This window comes from Homo sapiens, chromosome 17 (genome assembly GCF_000001405.40).
Source record: "Homo sapiens chromosome 17, GRCh38.p14 Primary Assembly".
Classification (NCBI taxonomy): Eukaryota; Metazoa; Chordata; class Mammalia; order Primates; family Hominidae; genus Homo; species Homo sapiens.
This window is the reverse complement of record NC_000017.11, coordinates 44,369,629-44,391,124: the sequence shown is the minus strand read 5'-3', so window position 1 is coordinate 44,391,124 and position 21,496 is coordinate 44,369,629. Positions and strand designations below refer to the sequence as shown.

Here is a 21,496-nt window from a genome sequence, read left to right as displayed (position 1 = left end):
ATCTTTGTATCCTTTATCAACACAGTGCCTTGAACAGAGTAAATACTTATTGAAAACTTGAGTGAAATGTAAGTTCATATTTGGCCTCACAGAATACACCAGTAATACAGCAATCACTCACCTGAGGACAGTGGGAGGATAGAAGGTAAGTAGAGGACTGGGTTAAGTATTCGTTCAAGCAAATACATTAATTACACGCCTCCCATGTACTTGACACTGGGAACTCAGCAATGAAGAAGGCCCAGACCAAAGTTCAGGCTTTTAGCTTCCTGTCCTATAAAGGATAAGATTCTTAACTCTAGGCTGAGGTAGTAAATTACGAGGGGACTTCAAAATGGTACAGGGTGGTTGAGCAGGATACGGCAATGGTTAAGTTTGATCAGAAAATAGAAATCAAAAGGAAAATGTGGCTATGGTTACCCCTAGCGGACCTCTTAAATCTTCCTGAGAACCTGCTTTTTTGGGAAGGCATGAGTGCCAGTAAGACTTGGCACTCCTCCTCTTCCGCTTACCGAGAGAAAATGACTTTGCCTTTCTGCTCAAAACTCATCCCTTCACTTTGTCACCCTATGTTTGCATCTTCCATCCTTAGTGTGTGTTTCCATCCAGTCTTTCAGCAATACACGTACTACACATTGGACTCTTGGGTAGTCTCTAGGGCTGTAGCAAGGAGCCTTGCTCCCAAGGGACTCATTTACACAATCCTGTGAACGGACCAAGAGTAAACAGTGTGCTCAATGCTGTGCCTACGTGTGTTAGCCCACGCGGCCAGCCTGAGGAGTCAGGGAAGGCTCCCCTAGGCAAAGCCCCCAACCAGAATCAAGTCTTAATGGTTAAAGAGCTCCATCACCCAAAAAGGATTGAGGGCCTACCTTCAACTGAACAGCTAATGCATAATCTCAGAAACTGTGAGTCAAAATTCCCTGGAATAACTCCACTTTATCCCCAATCTCCTTGCCACCTAGACCAAGGTCCATTCACCACCCTGTCCCCAGCACTGACTGCACTGCTGTGGCCACACTAAAGCTTGGCTCAAGACGGAGGAGGAGTGAGGAAGCTGCTGCACCAATATGGCTGGTTGAGGCCGCCCAAGGTCCTAGAAGGAGGAAGTGGGTAAATGCCATATCCAAAAAGATACAGAAGCCTCAGGTTTTATCGGGGGCAGCAGCTTCCTTCTCCTTCCCCGACCTGTGGCCAAGTCACAAAGCACCACAGCTGTACAGCCAGATGGGGGAAGGGAGGAGATTAGAACTGTAGGCTAGAGTAGACAAGTATGGACCAGTTCACAATCACGCTATCCCAAGCAGAAAGTGATGGTGGCTTGGACTAGCACGGTGGTAGTAGAGATGGGGTAAAGATTCAAGAGACATCATTGATAGGCAGAACCAATAGGACATGGTAATAAACTATTCTCAGGAAAGGGGAGGAGTCATGGCTTTCAGCCATGAGCATCCACCCTCTGGGTGGCCTCACCCACTTCCTGGCAATTCTAGCCACCATGAGTCCAGGGGCTATAGCCCTTTGCTCTGCCCGTTGCTCAGCAAGTTACTTGGGGTTCCAGTTTGATAAGAAAAGACTTCCTGTGGAGGAATCTGAAGGGAAGGAGGAGGAGCTGGCCCATTCCTGCCTGGGAGGTTGTGGAAGAAGGAAGATGGCCAGAGCTTTGTGTCCACTGCAAGCCCTCTGGCTTCTGGAGTGGGTGCTGCTGCTCTTGGGACCTTGTGCTGCCCCTCCAGCCTGGGCCTTGAACCTGGACCCAGTGCAGCTCACCTTCTATGCAGGCCCCAATGGCAGCCAGTTTGGATTTTCACTGGACTTCCACAAGGACAGCCATGGGAGGTGAGCCGTAAGGGAAGTTGGGGTATTGGGAGAGAGCAGGACCCCTCCCCATCACTGCTTCTGGGGGCTTCGAGTTTCCCATTTGCGATAGCAGTTGAGCAAGGTGACTTGTGGGGCCTATTCAGGTTGATTTCTTGTCAAGAATGTTGGGGTCCAGGGGACTGGCTCAGGTGAAGGTATAAGGGCAGGGCACATGTGGGCTGATGGGCACTGAAAACTACAGCAAGAACAAAGGGAAGACAAGAGTTGATGCTTTATTTTTTCCCCAAGGGTCAGTTGTATGAACCACTCCACCCTCAACACCTTGAAATGCAGAGAGGAGGCCGGGCGCGGTGGCTCATGCCTGTAATCCCAGCACTTTGGGAGGCCGAGGCGGGCAGATCACCTGAGGTCGAGAATTCGAGACCAGCCTGACCAACATGGAGAAACCCCGTCTCTACTAAAAATACAAAAAAAAAAAAAAAAAAGAGACCAGGCACAGTGGCTCACACCTGCAATCCCAGCACTTTGGGAGGCAGAGGTGGGCAGATCATGAGGTCAGGAGTTCAAGACCAGCCTGGCCAATATGGTGAAACCCTGTCTCTATTAAAAATACAAAAATTAGCTGAGCGTGGTGGCACACTCCTGTAGTCCCAGCTACTCGGGAGGCTGAGGTAGGAGAATCACTTGAACCCGGGAGGTGGAGGTTGCAGTGAGCTGAGATCATGCCACTGCACTCCAGCCTGGGTGACAGAGTGACACTCCGTCTCAAAAAAAAAAAAATTAGCCGGGCGTGGTGCCGCATGCTTGTAATCCCAGCTACTCGGGAGGCTGAGGCAGGAGAATCGTTTGAACCTGAGAGGCAGAGGTTGTGGTGAGCCGAGATCATGCCATTGCACTCCAGCCTGGGCAACGAGAGCGAAACTCTGTCTCAAAAAAAAAAAAAAAAAAAAAAGAAAGGAAATGTGGAGAGGAGCACATGTCCTAAATTGATTTGCAGAACTAAAGTTGTCTACCCTCCCGCACCTTGCATTTCTGTTCCATTTCCCTCATCTCCATCAACATTATAAATATTTGAAAAGAAGCAATAGGTCATTAATGATTAGTATTGATCAGGCTTCAGAATCAAGAGTGCCAAGATTAGAGTCTTGGCTCCTCCTCTTCATAGCGTGTACCCTGAGCTACTATTGTGAGAGACACTGTGCCCACCAGCTTCAGGGAGTGGCAATGGGTGGCAATGGCAGATAGCCTTCAAGTGTCAGCCACTTAGGGGATTTCCTCTGCTGAAGAGAGCCAGTTCACTCCAAGTCCCCTCCCAAGATGGCCCACATCCAGTGTCTGATCAATGAGAAGTGGGTGAGTGGGGAGAGTGGAGGCAGGTGTGGGGGAGGCATTTGATAAGGGTCCAGCCCTCTTTCATCAACTCTGACAATTCTTTTTTTCTTCTTCTTCTTTTTTTTTTTTTTTTTTTTTTTTTTTTGAGATGGGGTTTCGCTCTTGTTGCCCAGGCTGGAGTGCAATGGCACAATCACTGGCTCACCGCAACTTCTGCCTCCCGGGTTCAAGCGATTCTCCTGCCACAGCCTCCCGCGTAGCTGGGATTACAGGCATGTGCCACCACACCCGGCTAATTTTGTATTTTTAGTAGAGACGAGGTTTCTCCATGTTGGTCAGGGTGGTCTCGAACTCCCAACTTCAGGTGATCCACCCGCCTTGGCCTCCCAAAGTGCTGGGATTACAGGCTTCAGCCACCATGCCCAGACTTTTTTTCTTCTTTTTTTTTGAGATGGAGTTTCGCTCTCGTTGCCCAGGCTGGAGTGCAATGGGGTGATCTCGGCTCACTGCAACCTCTGCCTCCTGGGTTCAAACGATTCTCCTGTCTCAGCCTCCCGAGTAGCTGGGATTACAGGTGCATGCCACCATGCCCGGCTAATTTTTGTATTTTTAGTAGAGACAGGGTTTCACTATGTTGGCCAGGCTGGTCTCAAACTCCTGACCTCAGGTGATCAGCCTGCCTCGGCCTCCCAAAGTACTGGGATTACAGGCGTGAGCCACCACACCCGGCCAACTCTGACAATTTTGAAGGGTCATTCTAGTTCCAAAGCTCGTGGGGTGTTGGCGAATGCTGTCATTGGGCCTGAATCAGCTCAACTCCTTCCTGTGCCCACTCCTGCTGATTTCCCCTCCTATAAGTAGTGATCCCATTGGCACTACTTAAACATCCTGCAGGCTAAAAAAATATTATGGGCCAGACACAGAGGCTCACGCCTGTAATCCCTTGGCCTCCCAAAGTGCTGGGATTACAGGTGTGAGCCACCATGCCCAGCCTATAAAAAAATTTTTTTTAATTAGCCAGGCATGGTGTTGCACACCCGCAGTCCCAGCTACTAGGGTGGCTGAGGGGAGAGGATTGCTTGAGCCCTGGAGATCAAGGCTACAGTGAGCTGTGATCATGCTGCTGCACTCCAGCTGGGCAACAGAATGAGACCCTGTCTCAAAACAACAAAATTATTTTTTAAAATTATAGCATTGTTTCAAGAGCGTTTGTTATGTATTTGGCTGGGACCATGCTAACCGTTACTCGTATTTATTACATTTACTCCTGACAGCATTGACTGGTTGTGAAAACCAGTCATTGGTTATGAAATTGGTATTCCTATTTCACATATGGCAGAATTGTGATTTAAACCTAGATCTGCTAGGGTCCTCCTATCAGCACACACACTCCAGCCCCACTTTAGAGGTACCCGCTACCTTCCCTCATTAAAACCAGCTCTCAAGAGGGGATCTGGTAACAGTCTAGGCAGGCATTCCAGGGAGCATGTGAACCGCTGGTTCTTGTTGCGGGTGGAAGGATGGAGGTGTTGTACAGAGTTTAGGTCTTTTTCAGCAAAGATCTCAAACCCCTGGTGTTCAAATCAAACCAAATGGTTATAGTCCCAGCTCTACTCTCAACTCACTGGGTTACTTTAGCCACGTGATTGCCCTCGCTGAGAGTCGGTTTCACTGTCCATAAGATGAAGAAGTACATCACGGTGGTCTGTGAGGTGTCATTGAGGAAAGATGGTCCAGTGCCCCCATGCCACATGGCCTTCCGGGCAGTGCTCCCAGCGCCGGCGCCAGGGCCTGGGATACGCTGGAATCTGCGCGGCGCTCACCCAGCTTTCCTATGCAGAGTGGCCATCGTGGTGGGCGCCCCGCGGACCCTGGGCCCCAGCCAGGAGGAGACGGGCGGCGTGTTCCTGTGCCCCTGGAGGGCCGAGGGCGGCCAGTGCCCCTCGCTGCTCTTTGACCTCCGTGAGTCCCAGGCAAGGAGAGCAAGGTTGGGGTCAGAGGGACGTGGACTGCCGGGCTTCAGCGCCCCACCCCTTCTTGTGCCTTCCAGGTGATGAGACCCGAAATGTAGGCTCCCAAACTTTACAAACCTTCAAGGCCCGCCAAGGACTGGGGGCGTCGGTCGTCAGCTGGAGCGACGTCATTGTGGTGGGCCCCGCGGTACAGGGCACAGGGAACAATCGGGGGCAGGGACACCTGGGGCCAGGAGGAGCCCAAGTCTCGCGCCCGTCCCCACTCCTGTGGCCTTTCTCCAGGCCTGCGCCCCCTGGCAGCACTGGAACGTCCTAGAAAAGACTGAGGAGGCTGAGAAGACGCCCGTAGGTAGCTGCTTTTTGGCTCAGCCAGAGAGCGGCCGCCGCGCCGAGTACTCCCCCTGTCGCGGGAACACCCTGAGCCGCATTTACGTGGAAAATGATTTTAGTAAGCGCCAGCTACGACCTGGCCCCGCCCACTCGCGACGGCTTGGCCCCGCCCCCATCGGATCCCGCCCCCAGCGCCGCAGCCCTTGCTTTGGATCTGGCCTCGCCCCAGGGCCCCGCCGACTCAAGGCCCCGCCCCTGTCCCCCAGCCCTCCTCCGGGCTCGCGCGCGCCTCCCTTCACCCCTGCGCTGACCCCTCCTCCTTGTCTCCTGCAGGCTGGGACAAGCGTTACTGTGAAGCGGGCTTCAGCTCCGTGGTCACTCAGGCGAGTAGGGAGCAAAAGCGCAGTGGGGGCGGCTCCCAAACAGGGCCCCCTCTCACCCTCAGGACTTCCCTTCCAGGCCGGAGAGCTGGTGCTTGGGGCTCCTGGCGGCTATTATTTCTTAGGTACGTGCCCATCCGTACACCTCCCTCCCTTCTCGCGGCCCAAGGAGACCGCTTTGGGCTTCACACCCGCTGTCCCTCCCGCCCTAGGTCTCCTGGCCCAGGCTCCAGTTGCGGATATTTTCTCGAGTTACCGCCCAGGCATCCTTTTGTGGCACGTGTCCTCCCAGAGCCTCTCCTTTGACTCCAGCAACCCAGAGTACTTCGACGGCTACTGGGGTAACACCGCCATTCCAGACTTCCAGCACCCCGAGGGTCACCGCCCACCGCAGACGGTCAGGTCCTGCCCCTGTGGGAGCCTCCATGGCCACCCCTGCCGGCCAACCCACCGCCTAAGCCGCTCCCGCCCTCCGCTCCTGCGGCTTCCCCGCAGACCGCCCACCTCCCATGCGCCCACCGCTCCCTTCCACTGCGGACTCGTAGCGCAGCCTGGGGCAGGGCTTGGCCCCTCGAAGGCCTCCGTTTTTCCATCTGCACAATGCAGGGCTGGGGCTGAGTGGCCTTAATCTCCTCCTTCTTTGCCCTCCGTCCCCTCTGTGCTTCCTCCCCTGGAAAAGACTAATTTGCGCCCTTGTCCTCAGGGTACTCGGTGGCCGTGGGCGAGTTCGACGGGGATCTCAACACTACAGGCAAGAAATCCACTTAGGGCGGGAGTTGGGTAGCCCAGCCCGGGGAGGAGCGCCTTCCTGAAATCTCCCCTATGTAGGGAAATCTTCCTGCACACACATTTTTCCCTGGGTGCAGAACGGGGAGCGGGAAGTGGGTAGGTTCTAAGGCTCTCATTCCCTGAGCCTGGCTCTCCCTATCGCCAGAATATGTCGTCGGTGCCCCCACTTGGAGCTGGACCCTGGGAGCGGTAAGTGCCCCCACCACTGGGCCTCCCGAAGCCCCTTATCCCAGTTCTCAGGCTGACAACTCCTGAGCGCCCCCCACCCCCGCCCCGCCTCCACCAAACCACCCTTTCTCACCTGGAGTGGGAGGTTGCTTTGGGTACAAGAATGATGCTCTCGCCTGCGCTGTCCGTGCAGGTGGAAATTTTGGATTCCTACTACCAGAGGCTGCATCGGCTGCGCGGAGAGCAGGTGGGGGCCAGGTCCCAGTGGGCGTGGCTGGGTGGAGGGGGAACTGAGACTTCAGAATATTTCATGGGAGGTGAGGGCCCATTTCTTAAAGAGGATGCTTGTCCAGCGGCGTGAATGATGGTGCTCCTCATCTTGCAGATGGCGTCGTATTTTGGGCATTCAGTGGCTGTCACTGACGTCAACGGGGATGGGTGAGGAGGGACATGCCCCACCCCTACCCAGTTGGGTCCCAAATTACCAGAGCTGCCCTCTGTCTCCCTTTCCTAGCCCTAGTCTCACGTATCCACTGGAGGAACAGGAGAGCAAGGGTCGAGGAGATTTGGCCCTAGCCCCAATATACCCCTGGTCCAGTCCCATGTAACCACTCATCTGGCCCACAGGAGGCATGATCTGCTGGTGGGCGCTCCACTGTATATGGAGAGCCGGGCAGACCGAAAACTGGCCGAAGTGGGGCGTGTGTATTTGTTCCTGCAGCCGCGAGGCCCCCACGCGCTGGGTGCCCCCAGCCTCCTGCTGACTGGCACACAGCTCTATGGGCGATTCGGCTCTGCCATCGCACCCCTGGGCGACCTCGACCGGGATGGCTACAATGGTGAGGGAAGAGAGGAGCCCTACTTGCTGCAGAGGGGTTAACAGCCACTCAAAAAGCATGGAGTTGGCCTGAGGGCAGCCAGAACCAGGATGGGTTTTAAGCATATAAGTATGTGGCTTAGACACATGGGGTGCTGAGTGGAGAGCAGATGGGAGAGTTGAAGACTAATTAGGAAGTGTTTGCCTTAATCCAAGCAAGAGACAATGACCACCTGGATGTGGATTTTGGCAGTGGAGTTAGAGATGGGAGTGACTTCACAGATATTTAGGACTCGGATTATTAGGACTTGGTGGGAGACTGGATGTGGGGCCAGGGGAGAGGTTGGAGTTGGGTGCCTGTGATGGCCTCCACTGCCTGGAACTCAGGCCGTGCAGCAGGTGCTGGGGAGAGGCGGGAGATCAGCAGTTCAGCTCTGGACCTGTTGAGCTTGAAGGGCTTGGGTGCTTTAGGCGGAAATATCCAAAGAACAGTTGGGAGTGGCTCTCCCCGCTTCCACAAGAGAGATCTGAATGGGAGACAGGGGTTTGGGGAAAGTGGATGAGGTCCCGGGACCTGTGAAATAAGAGGCCCAGGATAGAGCCCTAGGGAGCAAAAGCATTTAGGTGACTCCTACAGGAGGTAAGTCTGAGAAGGAGACAGAGGAGTGTCCAGAGAGGGAGGAGGGAACCCAGGGGGTCTGATGGCCCGGGACTCAAGGAAGAGCATGCGTTAAAGAGCATGCACAGGAGGAAGTGGGCGCTGCAGCTCCTGCTGCTGCTGCAAGATACAATTAGGTGGGGCTGGAGAAATATTCATGGGCTTTAGCAAGAAGAGGGTGCCAGGCATGGTGGCTCATACCTGTAATCCCAGCTACTTGGGAAATTGAAGCAGGAGAATCTCTTGAACCCGGGAAGTGGAGGTTGCACTGAGCTGAGCTTGCGCCACTACTGCACTCCAGCCTGGGTGACAGAGCAAGACTCCATCTCAACAAAATAAAAAAAAAAATAGAGAAAGAAAGGAAGAAAGAAAAAAGAAGGGGAGGTTATTGGTGACAGTGACATAAATTGATTCAGGCCAAGATAGGGTCAGAAGCCAGAATGCAATGGGGTAAGGTATGAATGGAGATGAAAAATTGGATGCAGCTAATGTAGACAGCTCTTTCAACAGGTTTGTGGTAAAAAGGAATTTGAGGAATAGAAAGGAAAAAAAAAAACATGTTTGACTATAAGAGGAAAAAGAGAAAAGGTGATCACAGAAAAGAGATGAGGGTCAAGGGAAGATTATTTCAATGTGGAAGAACATGTAGTAGGTTGAAAATGATGTTGTGGGGAAATGGGGGGATGAGCCAGCAGAGAGTCCCTGTGATGCCTCAGGGGGTGGGAGGGTGACTGGCCCAGTGTCAGGGTGAAGGAAGGAAACCTCTTCCAGGGTCAAATGGGGAAAGGGAAAAGAAAGTTGGTGTGGGATTATAGCATAACAGTGGGCTGCCTCTCTTCCTGAAGTAAGAGATTACGTCACCTGCTGAAGGAAGTGTGGGGGGTCTGGGAGTTTGATGGAATGGAGAAGGCTAGAAATAGATGCTAGATGGCCAGGCACGGTGGCTCACACCTGGAATCCCAGCACTTTGGGAGGCCGAGGCAGGAGGATCACTGGAGCCTAGGAGTTTGACACCAGCCTGGCCAACATAGGGAGATCTCGTCTCCATAAAAATTTTTAAAAATTAGCTGGGCATGGTGGCTATAGTCTCAACTGCTTGGGAAGCTGAGGTGGGAGGATTGCTTTAGTCCAGAAGGTTGAGGCTGCAGTAAGCCATGGTTGCACCACTGCACTTCAGCCTGAATGACAGTGCAAGACTGTCTTAAAAATAAAAAAATTTTAAAAGGGGCTTGGGCACGGTGGCTCACACCTGTAATCCCAGCACTTTGGGAGCCCAAGGTGGGCAGATCACTTGAGGTCAGGAGTTCGAGATCAGCCTGGCCAATGTGGTGAAACCCCGTCTCTACTGAAAATACAAAAATTAGCCGGGCATGGTGGTAGGCGCCTGTAATCCCAGCTACTGAAGAGGCTGAGGCACAAGAATCACTTTAACGGGGGAGGCAGAGGTTGCAGTGAGCCGAGATCGCACCACTGCACTCCAGCCAGGACAACAGAGCGAGACTCCATCTCAAAAAAAAAAAAATTTAGAAAAGGGAATAATGATGCTTAATTTTCAGGATATATTTTCCTCAATAGACAGTGAGAGTTGTCACTGTTTTTATAACAATCCTACTTGGCAGGTCCCTCTCCCACCTGATTGTTAACTCCTGGAGGGTAGGGCAGTGCCTCCTTCACCCACACTTTGCACCCCTTTCCTAGTCTCCTGGGATGTTCCCAGAGAAGCTCAGGAAAGTTTTACAGTCATCTAGGGAGGCTGAATAACAATCAGCCACTTCCTTTCTGTTACTCCTTCCAGACATTGCAGTGGCTGCCCCCTACGGGGGTCCCAGTGGCCGGGGCCAAGTGCTGGTGTTCCTGGGTCAGAGTGAGGGGCTGAGGTCACGTCCCTCCCAGGTCCTGGACAGCCCCTTCCCCACAGGCTCTGCCTTTGGCTTCTCCCTTCGAGGTGCCGTAGACATCGATGACAACGGATACCCAGGTGCCCTGGACTGCCTCCAGCTAGAAATGCCCAAGAAAGGCCCTTGGACATTCGCTGGAAGTGCCAAGAGACACGGCCAGGGGCTCATGCCTGGCCTGGTGTCCCACTATGGACTGCCAGAGGGGCTGGGTGAAACCTCCAGTGGGGGAGGTGGTGTGGGGAACCCCTGGGAAGATGAGATGAGGATCCCATGCCCTAATCGCCAATTCTGACCCATTCCTCGATGTCTATAGACCTGATCGTGGGAGCTTACGGGGCCAACCAGGTGGCTGTGTACAGGTGAGCACTGGCTCCAGGGGCGGGATGGGGAAGGTCCTGTGCCATCAAGAGGAGGCCAGGCCAGGAGGAGCCACAATGGCAAGCCTACCCCATCACCCTATCCCATCAGAGCTCAGCCAGTGGTGAAGGCCTCTGTCCAGCTACTGGTGCAAGATTCACTGAATCCTGCTGTGAAGAGCTGTGTCCTACCTCAGACCAAGACACCCGTGAGCTGGTGAGGAGGCAGAGGGCATGGGCCTTAAAGGATCTGGGACCTCAGAAAGGCTCCAACCCCTGAGCCCCACTTACGTCTTTGCAGCTTCAACATCCAGATGTGTGTTGGAGCCACTGGGCACAACATTCCTCAGAAGCTATGTGAGTGGCATGAAGGGGGCAGGAGGGAGGTGGGCTTGGACTCCCCCGGAGGCTGGCCAGGGAGGTCCTGACTCTTCTGCTTGCCCTGCCAGCCCTAAATGCCGAGCTGCAGCTGGACCGGCAGAAGCCCCGCCAGGGCCGGCGGGTGCTGCTGCTGGGCTCTCAACAGGCAGGCACCACCCTGAACCTGGATCTGGGCGGAAAGCACAGCCCCATCTGCCACACCACCATGGCCTTCCTTCGAGTACGCCCAGGCAGGGGATTGGCAGGGCTGGGAGAGTAGAACTTACCCACTGGACTTGTTCATCTAGCCCTGGGGCACTGAGCTGGGTGCTGTGAGTCCGGGGGTGGTCAGGACACGGTGCCTACTGGCCAGGAGAAGGTGGGATGTGTATGGTAGCAAGATGGCCTGACTCTTGCCCCTGTCCTAGGATGAGGCAGACTTCCGGGACAAGCTGAGCCCCATTGTGCTCAGCCTCAATGTGTCCCTACCGCCCACGGAGGCTGGAATGGCCCCTGCTGTCGTGCTGCATGGAGACACCCATGTGCAGGAGCAGGTAGGGACAGGCAGGGACAGGCCAGGGAGGTGCAGGACCCCTGATAGCAAATCAGGATTAGGGTTAGTGCCAAGTCACAATGTGAACCCCAAAACCTTGATGTCATTCCAAACCCTAATGAAAACCTCAAAATCCAGCCAGTCATGGTGGCTCACACCTGTAATCCCAGCACTTTGGGAGACCGAGGCAGGCAGATTGCCTGAGGTCAGGAGTTAGAGACCAACCTGGCCAACATGGTGAAAACCCATCTCTACTAAAAATACAAAAAAAATTAGCCGGGTGTGGTGACGCATGCCTGTAATTCCAGCTACTCGGGAGGCTGAAGCAGGAGAATCACTTGAACCCAGGAGGCAGAGGTTGCAGTGAGCCAAGAGTGTGCCACAGCACTCCAGCCTGGGTGACAGAGCAAGACTCTGTCTCAAAAAAAAAAAAAAAAGCCAGGCGCAGTGGCTCACGCCTGTAATCCCAGCACTTTGGGAGGCCAAGGCGGGTGGATCACGAGGTCAGGAGATCAAGACCATCCTGGCTAACACAGTGAAACCCCGTCTACTAAAAATACAAAAAAAAAAAAAAAATTAGCTGGGCGTGGTGGCGGGTACCTGTAGTCCCAGCTACTTGGGAGGCTGAGGCAGGAGAATGGCGTGAACCCCGGGGGGCGGAGCTTGCAGTGAGCCGAGATAGTGCCACTGCACTCCAGCCTGGACGACAGAGCGAGACTCCGTCTCCAAAAATAAAATAAACACCTGAAAATCCCAGTATCCCCTAAGCTCTGATGTAAATTGACAAACCCTGACATTGTCCCAAACCTCCAAATAAACCCGAGCCCCGATACCATCTACAAACTCCTTTTCGTCCTCAGATCTTCTTACTCCCTAAGCCCCTATGTGAACCCCAAGCCCACTGTTTTCCTAACCCTGATGTAATCCCTAAACCTCACACATCCCCAACTTACCCGCACACCCCAATGTGCCCCTCTAGACACGAATCGTCCTGGACTGTGGGGAAGATGACGTATGTGTGCCCCAGCTTCAGCTCACTGCCAGCGTGTGAGGAGGCCTCCCATTCTGCCCGACCCTGGCCCTTTCTGCCTATCATACCTGCTCCACACCTTAGTCCCCTCTTTTCCCACATCCTGGGCCCAGACCCAGGCTCCCTGGCTTCACTCCTCTTTCCCCACAGGACGGGCTCCCCGCTCCTAGTTGGGGCAGATAATGTCCTGGAGCTGCAGATGGACGCAGCCAACGAGGGCGAGGGGGCCTATGAAGCAGAGCTGGCCGTGCACCTGCCCCAGGGCGCCCACTACATGCGGGCCCTAAGCAATGTCGAGGTATGGCCCCCACCCTGGGAACAGTACCCGGGACCTGGGAGGCACTGGAGCCTTGGCTCTCTCATCTCCCTCCCTGAGAGTCCCTCTTCTCTTCTGCTTTGCTGTCAAAGATGTAATTTTTTATTTTTTTTTTAATTTGGAGGAGGAATACTTGCTAATGGCACAGAATTCCAAAACTCTATTACAAAAACCAGAAAAACAAAAAAGGTTTAGGAACCAAATGTTAACAGGAACCTCTGTTAACATTTGGTGGATTTCCTTCCAGTCTTTTTTTCAATATTGACTCACACTCACATAAGTATATATTTATTTTTTATGTTGTTAATATAGTTTATAATAATGGGGGTCATACTCTAATGTTTTGTGTTTTTTATTTCCAAAATGAAAATGCCTAAAAAGTAGTAGTGCTACAGCAATACACACACTAGCATGTGACAGTCCCTTGAGACCCCACCCCAAGAAACCCCCCCCTCCCTACCTTGGCACACAAATCTTTCCAGACCTTCCAAGGGAGCTTAAATATATATATATGATGCTCTGTAATTTCTTTCTTGGAACTGCCTTCCTGAAGGGCTTTGAGAGACTCATCTGTAATCAGAAGAAGGAGAATGAGACCAGGGTGGTGCTGTGTGAGCTGGGCAACCCCATGAAGAAGAACGCCCAGGTGAGGCTGCTGGGTCGTGGTACCGGGTCTCCACCAGGGGCTCATGAATAACCAGATTTTAGGGGTGAGGTTTTAGAGCCACATAGTTCTGGGCCAGAATCTTGGTCCTCACACTCCCTTGCCACATGTCCTTGGGTGAGTGACTTTCCCTCTCTGAGCCCCTTTACCCAGTGGGCTTCCAGGTAAAATAGAAATAATAATGGTGGCCTGGTGCGGTGGCTCACGCCTGTAATCCCAGCACTCTGGGAGGCCGAGACGGGTGGATCACGAGGTCAGGAGTTCAAGACCAGCCTGGCCAACATAGCAAAACCCCGTCTCTACTAAAAATACAAAAATTACCCGGGCATGGTGGCGCACGCCTATAGTCAGAGCTACTCGGGAGGTTGAGGCAGAAAAATCACTTGAACCTGGGAGGTGGAGGTTGCAGTGAGCCGAGATCATGCCACTGCACTCCAGCCTGGGTGACAGAGTGAGACTCCGTCTCGGAAAAAAAAAAAAAGAAAAAGAATAGTGGTGATCTTGGAGGGTGAAGACTGGAGGCCACATTCAGGGCAGGGCTGTCCTAAGTGGGGCACTTGGGCAGTGACCTTGGCCCTCCTCATCTCCCAGATAGGAATCGCGATGTTGGTGAGCGTGGGGAATCTGGAAGAGGCTGGGGAGTCTGTGTCCTTCCAGCTGCAGATACGGAGGTACTGACCTGGCGAGCGTGCCTACCCACCACCCTTCCCCCGTCTGACCCCCGTGCAGAGCCCCTCAGGTCCCTTCCATACAGAAGGGTCTTTCGAGGCCAGGCGCAGTGGCTCACACCTGTAATCCCAGCACGTTGCGAGGCCAAGGCAGAAGGATCACTGGAGGTCAGGAGTTGGAGACCAGCCTGGCCAACATGGTGAAACCCCATCTCTACTAAAAATATAAAAATTAGCTGGGCATGGTGGTGCGCACCTACAATCCCAGCTACTCGGGAGGCTGAGGCAGGAGAATAGCTTGAACCGAACCTGGGAGGTGGAGGTTGCAGTGAGCTGAGATTGGGCCACTGCACTCCAGCCTTCCAGCCTGGGCGACAGTGCGAGATTCTATCTCAAAAGAAAAAAAAAAAGGTCTTTGAAGAAGCCTGGTTCCCTTTCTTCCTCAGAGATTTATGTCTGAGTCTTGGAGCCCTAGAGGAAGTTCTTTCCCAGGTCTAACTTCAGTGTGGCATGCTCTTTGTATAATTAGCTCTCTCTGAACTCTCTAAAATTCTGGCCTCACCCCCAGAAAGTCACTGGGCTGGTGTCCCTGGCCCTGTTTCTCCTCATCCCCTCCCCTCTAGCAAGAACAGCCAGAATCCAAACAGCAAGATTGTGCTGCTGGACGTGCCGGTCCGGGCAGAGGCCCAAGTGGAGCTGCGAGGGTGAGAGGCCAGGGGTGGAGAAGGGAGATGGCATTCAGGGCTCTAAACTCCAGGGGGCGCTGGGGAAACCTCACAGGCCAATCAGGGCATCACACTCTCTCTGGGGGTCTTGGGCACCTGCAGGAACTCCTTTCCAGCCTCCCTGGTGGTGGCAGCAGAAGAAGGTGAGAGGGAGCAGAACAGCTTGGACAGCTGGGGACCCAAAGTGGAGCACACCTATGAGGTATTGGGGAGCCTCGCGTCCCTGGCTGGGGTGAGCGGGTCCTCAGAACTCCGGGTGAGGCGCTAAGCTCCCCACACCCTGCCACCACCACCCCTTCAGCTCCACAACAATGGCCCTGGGACTGTGAATGGTCTTCACCTCAGCATCCACCTTCCGGGACAGTCCCAGCCCTCCGACCTGCTCTACATCCTGGATATACAGCCCCAGGGGGGCCTTCAGTGCTTCCCACAGCCTCCTGTCAACCCTCTCAAGGTAAGAGCTGGGTGGAAGAAAGACCTGGGAAGGCGGCCCCAGACCAACCACCGGGGCACCTCTGTGGGCTGGGGTTCGGGGGAGACCTGGGCCTGACCACTCCTTTGCCCCCCCAGGTGGACTGGGGGCTGCCCATCCCCAGCCCCTCCCCCATTCACCCGGCCCATCACAAGCGGGATCGCAGACAGATCTTCCTGCCAGAGCCCGAGCAGCCCTCGAGGCTTCAGGATCCAGTTCTCGTAGTGAGCAGGCTCTCTGGTCTCTGGCCCGGCCTCCCCGGGACCCACGGGGCAGAGGGGATGGGAGGAGGGAGAGGGGTCCGGGTGTGCTGTGGGCCTCTGTGGGCCACGCTTGGTCCCTGGGAGCACTTCAAGTGAACATGGAGGAGCATGCTGGCTTGTGTCTGGGGTGAGCTGAAAGACACTTGCACTTTTTAAAAGCTTCCCAGTACGTTAAGGAGCATAAAACAATGCCAAAGCAAGGTTATCATAGATCTGAGCATTGTGCGCTGGGGGATGACCCTCCCTGCATCTCTGGGACTATGTGAGCAAGCCCGTGGAAAGACAGCATCCGAAGCTTGGATCCAAGGCCCTTCCTGATGGGAAGGCCACCGCTTCCTGAACCCCCGGCCCCTTCTGCGTTGGGTCCTGGGGGTAAGGGGGTGGGGGATGATGGGGTGATGGGCCGGGACGGGCTGGGGACTGACGATGCTTCCCCTCAGAGCTGCGACTCGGCGCCCTGTACTGTGGTGCAGTGTGACCTGCAGGAGATGGCGCGCGGGCAGCGGGCCATGGTCACGGTGCTGGCCTTCCTGTGGCTGCCCAGCCTCTACCAGGTGGGGTGGGCCGTGGTGGGGCGGGGCCGGGCCTTCTGGGCGGGGACCACTTTGCTCTGGGAGGGGCGGGGTTTGGTGTGGGAGGGCAGGAAGAGAGGGAAGGCAAGGTTTACTTTGGGGGATTGCAGTGGGATTAGGTCAGAGGCAGGGCTTCCCCGCCGGGGGTGTGGGACCTGGACTCCTGCAACCAATAGGCCTCTTGTGGGTGTAAACGGCTTTCAACCCCAACCTGTCCAGAGGCCTCTGGATCAGTTTGTGCTGCAGTCGCACGCATGGTTCAACGTGTCCTCCCTCCCCTATGCGGTGCCCCCGCTCAGCCTGCCCCGAGGGGAAGCTCAGGTGAGTGTGGGGGGATGGAGCAGAGACCAGTCCTGCAGGACCCATTGTCCCCCAGTCAGTGCCCAGCCAGAAAAGTCTGAGGGGTGGTACGGGTGGGTGGCATGGCTGGAGGTCACCAGCCTGAGGTTTGAGTCTTTGTGAAAGGCAGGTGTCAAGGTGACTGAGGAGACACGTGGGTTTGCCCCCAGGTGTGGACACAGCTGCTCCGGGCCTTGGAGGAGAGGGCCATTCCAATCTGGTGGGTGCTGGTGGGTGTGCTGGGTGGCCTGCTGCTGCTCACCATCCTGGTCCTGGCCATGTGGAAGGTGAGGTGTGAAGGACGGTGGAGTCCCCAGCGGGGCACAGGCTTGGCTCTGCCCTGCCTCACAGGGAGTCAAGGAGAGATGGTGGCCCACCCAAGTGGGTAATCCAGGGACCAGGGGTCTATGTCTCCACTATTAGAATGTCATTCTCGGTCCAGTGGGGTGGCTCACACCTGTAATCCCAGCACTTTGGGAGGCCAAAGCGTTTAGATCACCTGAGGTCAAGAGTTCGAGACCAGCCTGGCCAACATGGTGAAACCCCATCTCTACTAAAAATACCAAAATTAGCCGGGCGTGTTGACACATGCCTGTAATCTCAGCTACTCGGGAGGCTGAGGCAGTAGAATTGCATGAACCCAGGAGGCGGAGGTTGCAGTGAGCCGAGATCACACCACTGCACTCCAGCTTGGGCAACAGAGCGAGCCTCCATCTCAAAAAAAAAAGAAAAAAATAGAATGTCTTTCTCTAGTAGAGCAAAAAAGGCAAAACAAACACAAAAATGTCATTCTCCTGGGAACCCTTCCAGACACATACCACTGGAAAGGATAGCACCTGAAATTCTGAGGCCTTTAGACACCCCTGCCACCAAAAAGATTCAGAGGATATAGAGGGTATAGAGGGTGTAAGTCCTGCCTTCAGGAATTCCTGGCTGGTCTCAAGGACAAGATGCACTTCTTCCTAGCCCTGCCCTTCCCCTTGAGTGAGGCAAGAGGCCCAAGGATTGGTCTAGACCCTATTCCTCCCTTCCTATGTGGCCCTGGAGGGTCACTCGCTCCTCTGCACCTGGAGGAGTCTCAAGCACACTGAAGGGAAGACATGGTGCTTTTAGGGAAAACCACGCACTAGACCCACAATAATCAAATACATATCATCATATGCTCGAGTCATGCAGACACAAACTTCAGTATAAGAAAAATTCCAGGCTGGGCGTGGTGGCTCACACCGGTAATCCCAGCACTTTGGGAGGCCGAGGTGGGCGGTTCATGAGGTCAGGAGTTCGAGACCAGCCTGACAAACATGGTGAAACCCCATCTCTACTAAAAATACAAAAATTAGCCAGGCGTGGTGGCAGGCACCTGTACTTCCAGCTACTCGGGAGGCTGAGGCAGGAGAATCACTTGAACCCGGGAGGTGAAGGTTGCAGTGAGCCAAGATTGTGCCACTGCACTCCAGCCTGGGTGAGATTTCATCTCAAAAGAAAAGAAAAGAAAAATTCCAGGTGGGGACCAGGCGCGGTGGATCACTTGAGGCCAGGAGTTTGGGACAGCATAGTGAGACTCCATCTCTACAAAAAAGTTTTTTAAAAAAAATTAGTCAGGTGTGGTAGTCCACACCTGTAGTCCCAGCTACTTGGGAGGCTAAGAGGTGAGAGGATTGCCTGGGTGACAACAGAAAGACCCTGTCTCTAAAAATAAAATAAAAAAGAAAAATTCAGAGGCCGGGCACAGTGGCTTATGCCTGTAATCCCAACACAATGGGAGGCTGAGGCAGGCAGATCACCTGAGGTCAGGAGTTTGAGACCAGCCCGGCCAACAGGGTGAAACCCTGTCTCTACTAAAAATTAGCTGGGCGTGGTGGCACACACCTGTAAACCCAGCTACTCGGGAGGCTGAGGCATGAGAATTGTTTGAACCCGGGAGGTGGAGGCTGCACTGAGCCGAGATCGAGCCACTACACTACAGCCTGGGTGACAGAGTGAGACTCCCTCTAAAAAAAAGAAAAAAATAAAAACTCAGGGGAGAAAAAACAAAAACCCAACAATTCGTTCCATGCATTATCTCTAAATGTCAAAAGGCATCCATTTGTGAGTACAGTGGGCTTCATGTTCTGCGCTGGTCCAGGGAGGTGCTCATAGCTAGCATACTTCCTCACATGTGCTCTGGGGCCAGCAAATCATCTGTATACCCTGACCTTGGCCCCCGTGTACCCCCAGGTCGGCTTCTTCAAGCGGAACCGGCCACCCCTGGAAGAAGATGATGAAGAGGGGGAGTGATGGTGCAGCCTACACTATTCTAGCAGGAGGGTTGGGCGTGCTACCTGCACCGCCCCTTCTCCAACAAGTTGCCTCCAAGCTTTGGGTTGGAGCTGTTCCATTGGGTCCTCTTGGTGTCGTTTCCCTCCCAACAGAGCTGGGCTACCCCCCCTCCTGCTGCCTAATAAAGAGACTGAGCCCTGATGCTGAGCATGCTGCCTCCTTTTGGGGCCAGAGAAGAGATGACCGAAGGAATGTTTTGGACGGGGACCTAGGGCTGGTGGAAGTATGAACGAGAGAGTCACTGCCAGGGCGAAGTTTGCAAATCACTGTCTTTGGGGAGTGTCAGGGAGTACAGAGTTGGGGTGGTAGGTGTAACAGAAGACGGAGAGCCCGGCGCAGTGGTTCACGCCTATAATCCCAGCACTTTGGGAGGCCGAGGTGAGCAGATCACCTGAGGTTGGGAGTTTGAGACCAGCCTTACCAACATGGAGAAACCCTGTCTCTACTAAAAATACGAAATTAGCTGGGCCTGGTGGCGCATGCTTCTAATCCCAGCTACTCGGGAGGCTGAGGCAGGAGAATCGCTTGAACCCGGGAGGCAGAGTTTGCAGTGAGCTGAGATTGCATCATTGCACTCCAGCCTGGGCAACAAGAGTGAAACTCTGTCTCAAAAAAAAAAGAAAAGAGGGAGAAAGGGCGGCAGGGCCTCAGGGAAGACTAGAAGGGGATGAACATGTCTAAGGGCAGGATGGGATGGGAGGGCAGGTGAGGGGGATGGGAGCATCAGAGAAGGCAGGCTGTGTCCTTGGTGGGCAGCTTTATTTATTTATTTAATGTATTTATTTTTGAGACAGAATCTCGCTCTTGCCCAGGCTGTGCAATGGCATGATCTCGGCTCACTGCAACCTCCGCCTCACGGGTTCAAGCAATTCTACTGCCTCTGCCTCCTGAGTAGCTGGGACTACAGGAGTGCACCACCACGCCTGGTTAATTTTCGTATTTTTAGTAGAGAAGGGATTTCACCATGTTGGCCAGGCTGGTCTTGAACTCATGGCCTCAGGTGATCCGTCCACCTCAACCTCCCAAAGTGCTGGGATTACAGGTGTGAGCCACCTCGCCCAGCTACGGCAGCTTTAAATAGCACATTTGTTATGATTTCGGAAGGGTAAACTTTACAATGACCTGAGGCGTGGAAAAATAACACGCTCTCCCTGCCTTCCTATCAAAAAAGGACTTTAAAGCTGTTTGGAGCGAGAAGGGGCAGAGGAAGGCTGGCTCAGCTGTTGCCTGAGGAAGGCAGCGTCATGCCAGGGAGGAGACAGCAAGCATCGCTCCCTGGCTACCCTGCTGCTGTCCCTTCCTCCCCACCAAGAGGGGCCTTCAGCCAGGAAAGATGAGGATGGAAGACAGCTCTCCAGCTTTGGTGAGTAGAGCTGAGCAGCATATGTGGGGAGGTCTCCCTGGAGTCCTGAGGGATTTGTTCCTTCCTGGGTTCAATAAATATTTATTGGCCGGGCATGGTGGCTCATGCCTGTAATCTAGCACTTTGGGAGGCTGAGGCAGGAGGATTGCTTGAGCCCAGGAGTTTTTGGCTGCAGTGAGCTATGATCATGCCGCTGCACTCCAGCCTGAGCAACAGAGAAAGACCCTGTCTCTAAAAAAAAATTAAAATTGTCCGGGAGAGGTGGCTCACGCCTGTAATCCCAGCACTTTGGGAGGCTGGGGTGGGCGGATCACCTGAGGTCTGGAGTTCAAGACCAGCCTGGCCAACATGGTGAAACCCCATCTCTACTAAAAATACAAAAAATTAGCTGGCTGTGGTAGCAGGTGCCTGTAATCCCAGGTTCTTGGGAGGCTGAGGCTGGAGAATCACTTGAACCTGGGCGGCAGAGGTTGCAGTGAGCCGAGATCATGCCATTGCACTCCAGCCTGGGCAATAAGAGCCAAACTCCATCTCAAAAATAAAAATTACTAGCTAGGTGTGGTGGTATGTTCCTGTAGACCCAGGTACTCAGGAGGCTGAGGCAGGAGGATTGCTTGAGCCCAGGAGGTCAAGACTGCAGAGAGCCTTGATCTCACCACTACACTCCAGCCTGGGTGACAGACTGAGGCCCTGGCTAAAAACAAATGTTTTTAATTAAAAATAAAAATAAATAATCACGGAGCACCTACTGTGTCCAGAATTGGTGGGTTCTTGGTCTCAGTGACTTCAAGAAGGAAGCCGCGGACCCTCGCGGTGAGTGTTACAGTTCTTAAAGCCGGCGTGTCCGGAGTTTGTTCCTTCTGATGTTCAGATGCGTTCGGAGTTTCTTCCTTCTGGTGGGTTCGTGGTCTCGCTGGCTCAGGAGTGAAGCTGCAGACCTTCCCGGTGAGTGTTACAGCTCTTAAGGCAGCGCGTCTGGAGTTGTTCGTTCCTCCCGGTGGGCTCGTGGTCTCATTGGCTTCAGGAGTGAAGCTGCAGACCTTCGCGGTGAGTGTTACAGCTCATAAAAGCAGTGTGGACCCAAAGAGTGAGCAGTAGCAAGATTTATTGCAAAGAGCAAAAGAACAAAGCTCTTACGGTGTGGAACGGGACCCCAGCGGGTTACCGCTGTTGGCTCGGGCAGCCAGCTTTTATTCTCTTATCTGGCCCCACCCACATCCTGCTGAGTGGTAGAGCCTAGTGGCCTGTTTTGACAGGGCGCTGATTGGTGTGTTTACAATCCCTGAGCTAGACACAAAGGTTCTCCTCGTCCCCATCAGGTTAGTTAGAT

At 54.0% G+C, this 21,496-nt stretch overlaps 1 protein-coding gene across 3 annotated transcripts, besides 4 other annotated features; it reads left to right on the top strand.

Annotated features, from left to right (window-relative positions):
* Nucleotides 1,260-1,319: an enhancer, noted in NCBI's record as "active region_12262". NCBI's record gives its function as "activates an Ori minimal core promoter by ATAC-STARR-seq in GM12878 lymphoblastoid cells {active_cell/tissue: GM12878}" and the evidence as "EXISTENCE:reporter gene assay evidence [ECO:0000049][PMID:35858748]".
* Nucleotides 1,476-18,944, top strand: ITGA2B (integrin subunit alpha 2b). Of its 3 annotated transcripts, NM_000419.5 has the most exons (30): nt 1,476-1,839; nt 4,994-5,115; nt 5,204-5,301; nt 5,409-5,574; nt 5,790-5,839; nt 5,916-5,961; nt 6,049-6,177; nt 6,540-6,587; nt 6,771-6,814; nt 6,987-7,040; nt 7,179-7,231; nt 7,421-7,632; nt 10,064-10,246; nt 10,480-10,525; nt 10,635-10,739; nt 10,824-10,879; nt 10,972-11,123; nt 11,311-11,436; nt 12,415-12,482; nt 12,616-12,763; nt 13,335-13,427; nt 14,037-14,116; nt 14,737-14,817; nt 14,941-15,040; nt 15,140-15,292; nt 15,409-15,534; nt 16,014-16,127; nt 16,365-16,466; nt 16,655-16,771; nt 18,702-18,944. In NM_000419.5, the coding sequence occupies exons 1-30, from the start codon at nt 1,652-1,654 to the stop codon at nt 18,759-18,761; spliced, it is 3,120 nt and encodes a 1,039-aa protein (NP_000410.2). In that variant the 5' UTR covers nt 1,476-1,651; the 3' UTR covers nt 18,762-18,944. The 3 variants fall into 3 exon arrangements, with proteins under 3 accessions (NP_000410.2, XP_011523051.2, XP_011523052.2); XM_011524749.2 differs by lacking the exon at nt 16,365-16,466; XM_011524750.2 differs by lacking the exon at nt 16,655-16,771.
* Nucleotides 5,276-5,415: an enhancer, noted in NCBI's record as "active region_12261". NCBI's record gives its function as "activates an Ori minimal core promoter by ATAC-STARR-seq in GM12878 lymphoblastoid cells {active_cell/tissue: GM12878}" and the evidence as "EXISTENCE:reporter gene assay evidence [ECO:0000049][PMID:35858748]".
* Nucleotides 10,712-11,668: an enhancer, noted in NCBI's record as "H3K4me1 hESC enhancer chr17:42456825-42457781 (GRCh37/hg19 assembly coordinates)". NCBI's record gives its function as "activates a minimal SCP1, AML or CMV promoter by ChIP-STARR-seq in primed H9 embryonic stem cells {active_cell/tissue: H9 hESC(primed)}" and the evidence as "EXISTENCE:reporter gene assay evidence [ECO:0000049][PMID:30033119]".
* Nucleotides 15,387-15,964: an enhancer, noted in NCBI's record as "H3K4me1 hESC enhancer chr17:42452529-42453106 (GRCh37/hg19 assembly coordinates)". NCBI's record gives its function as "activates a minimal SCP1, AML or CMV promoter by ChIP-STARR-seq in primed H9 embryonic stem cells {active_cell/tissue: H9 hESC(primed)}" and the evidence as "EXISTENCE:reporter gene assay evidence [ECO:0000049][PMID:30033119]".

What these genes read in the sequence shown, in the direction of transcription:
- ITGA2B (XM_011524749.2), top strand. Translation starts at nt 1,499, where the DNA reads ATGAGTCCAGGGGCTATAGCCCTTTGCTCTGCCCGTTGCTCAGCAAGT. An exon ending in ACTGACGTCAACGGGGATGG is followed by an intron (nt 7,232 to 7,420) that starts GTGAGGAGGGAC and finishes TCTGGCCCACAG; the next exon opens with GAGGCATGATCTGCTGGTGG. An exon ending in AAGTGGAGCACACCTATGAG is followed by an intron (nt 15,041 to 15,139) that starts GTATTGGGGAGC and finishes CCACCCCTTCAG; the next exon opens with CTCCACAACAATGGCCCTGG.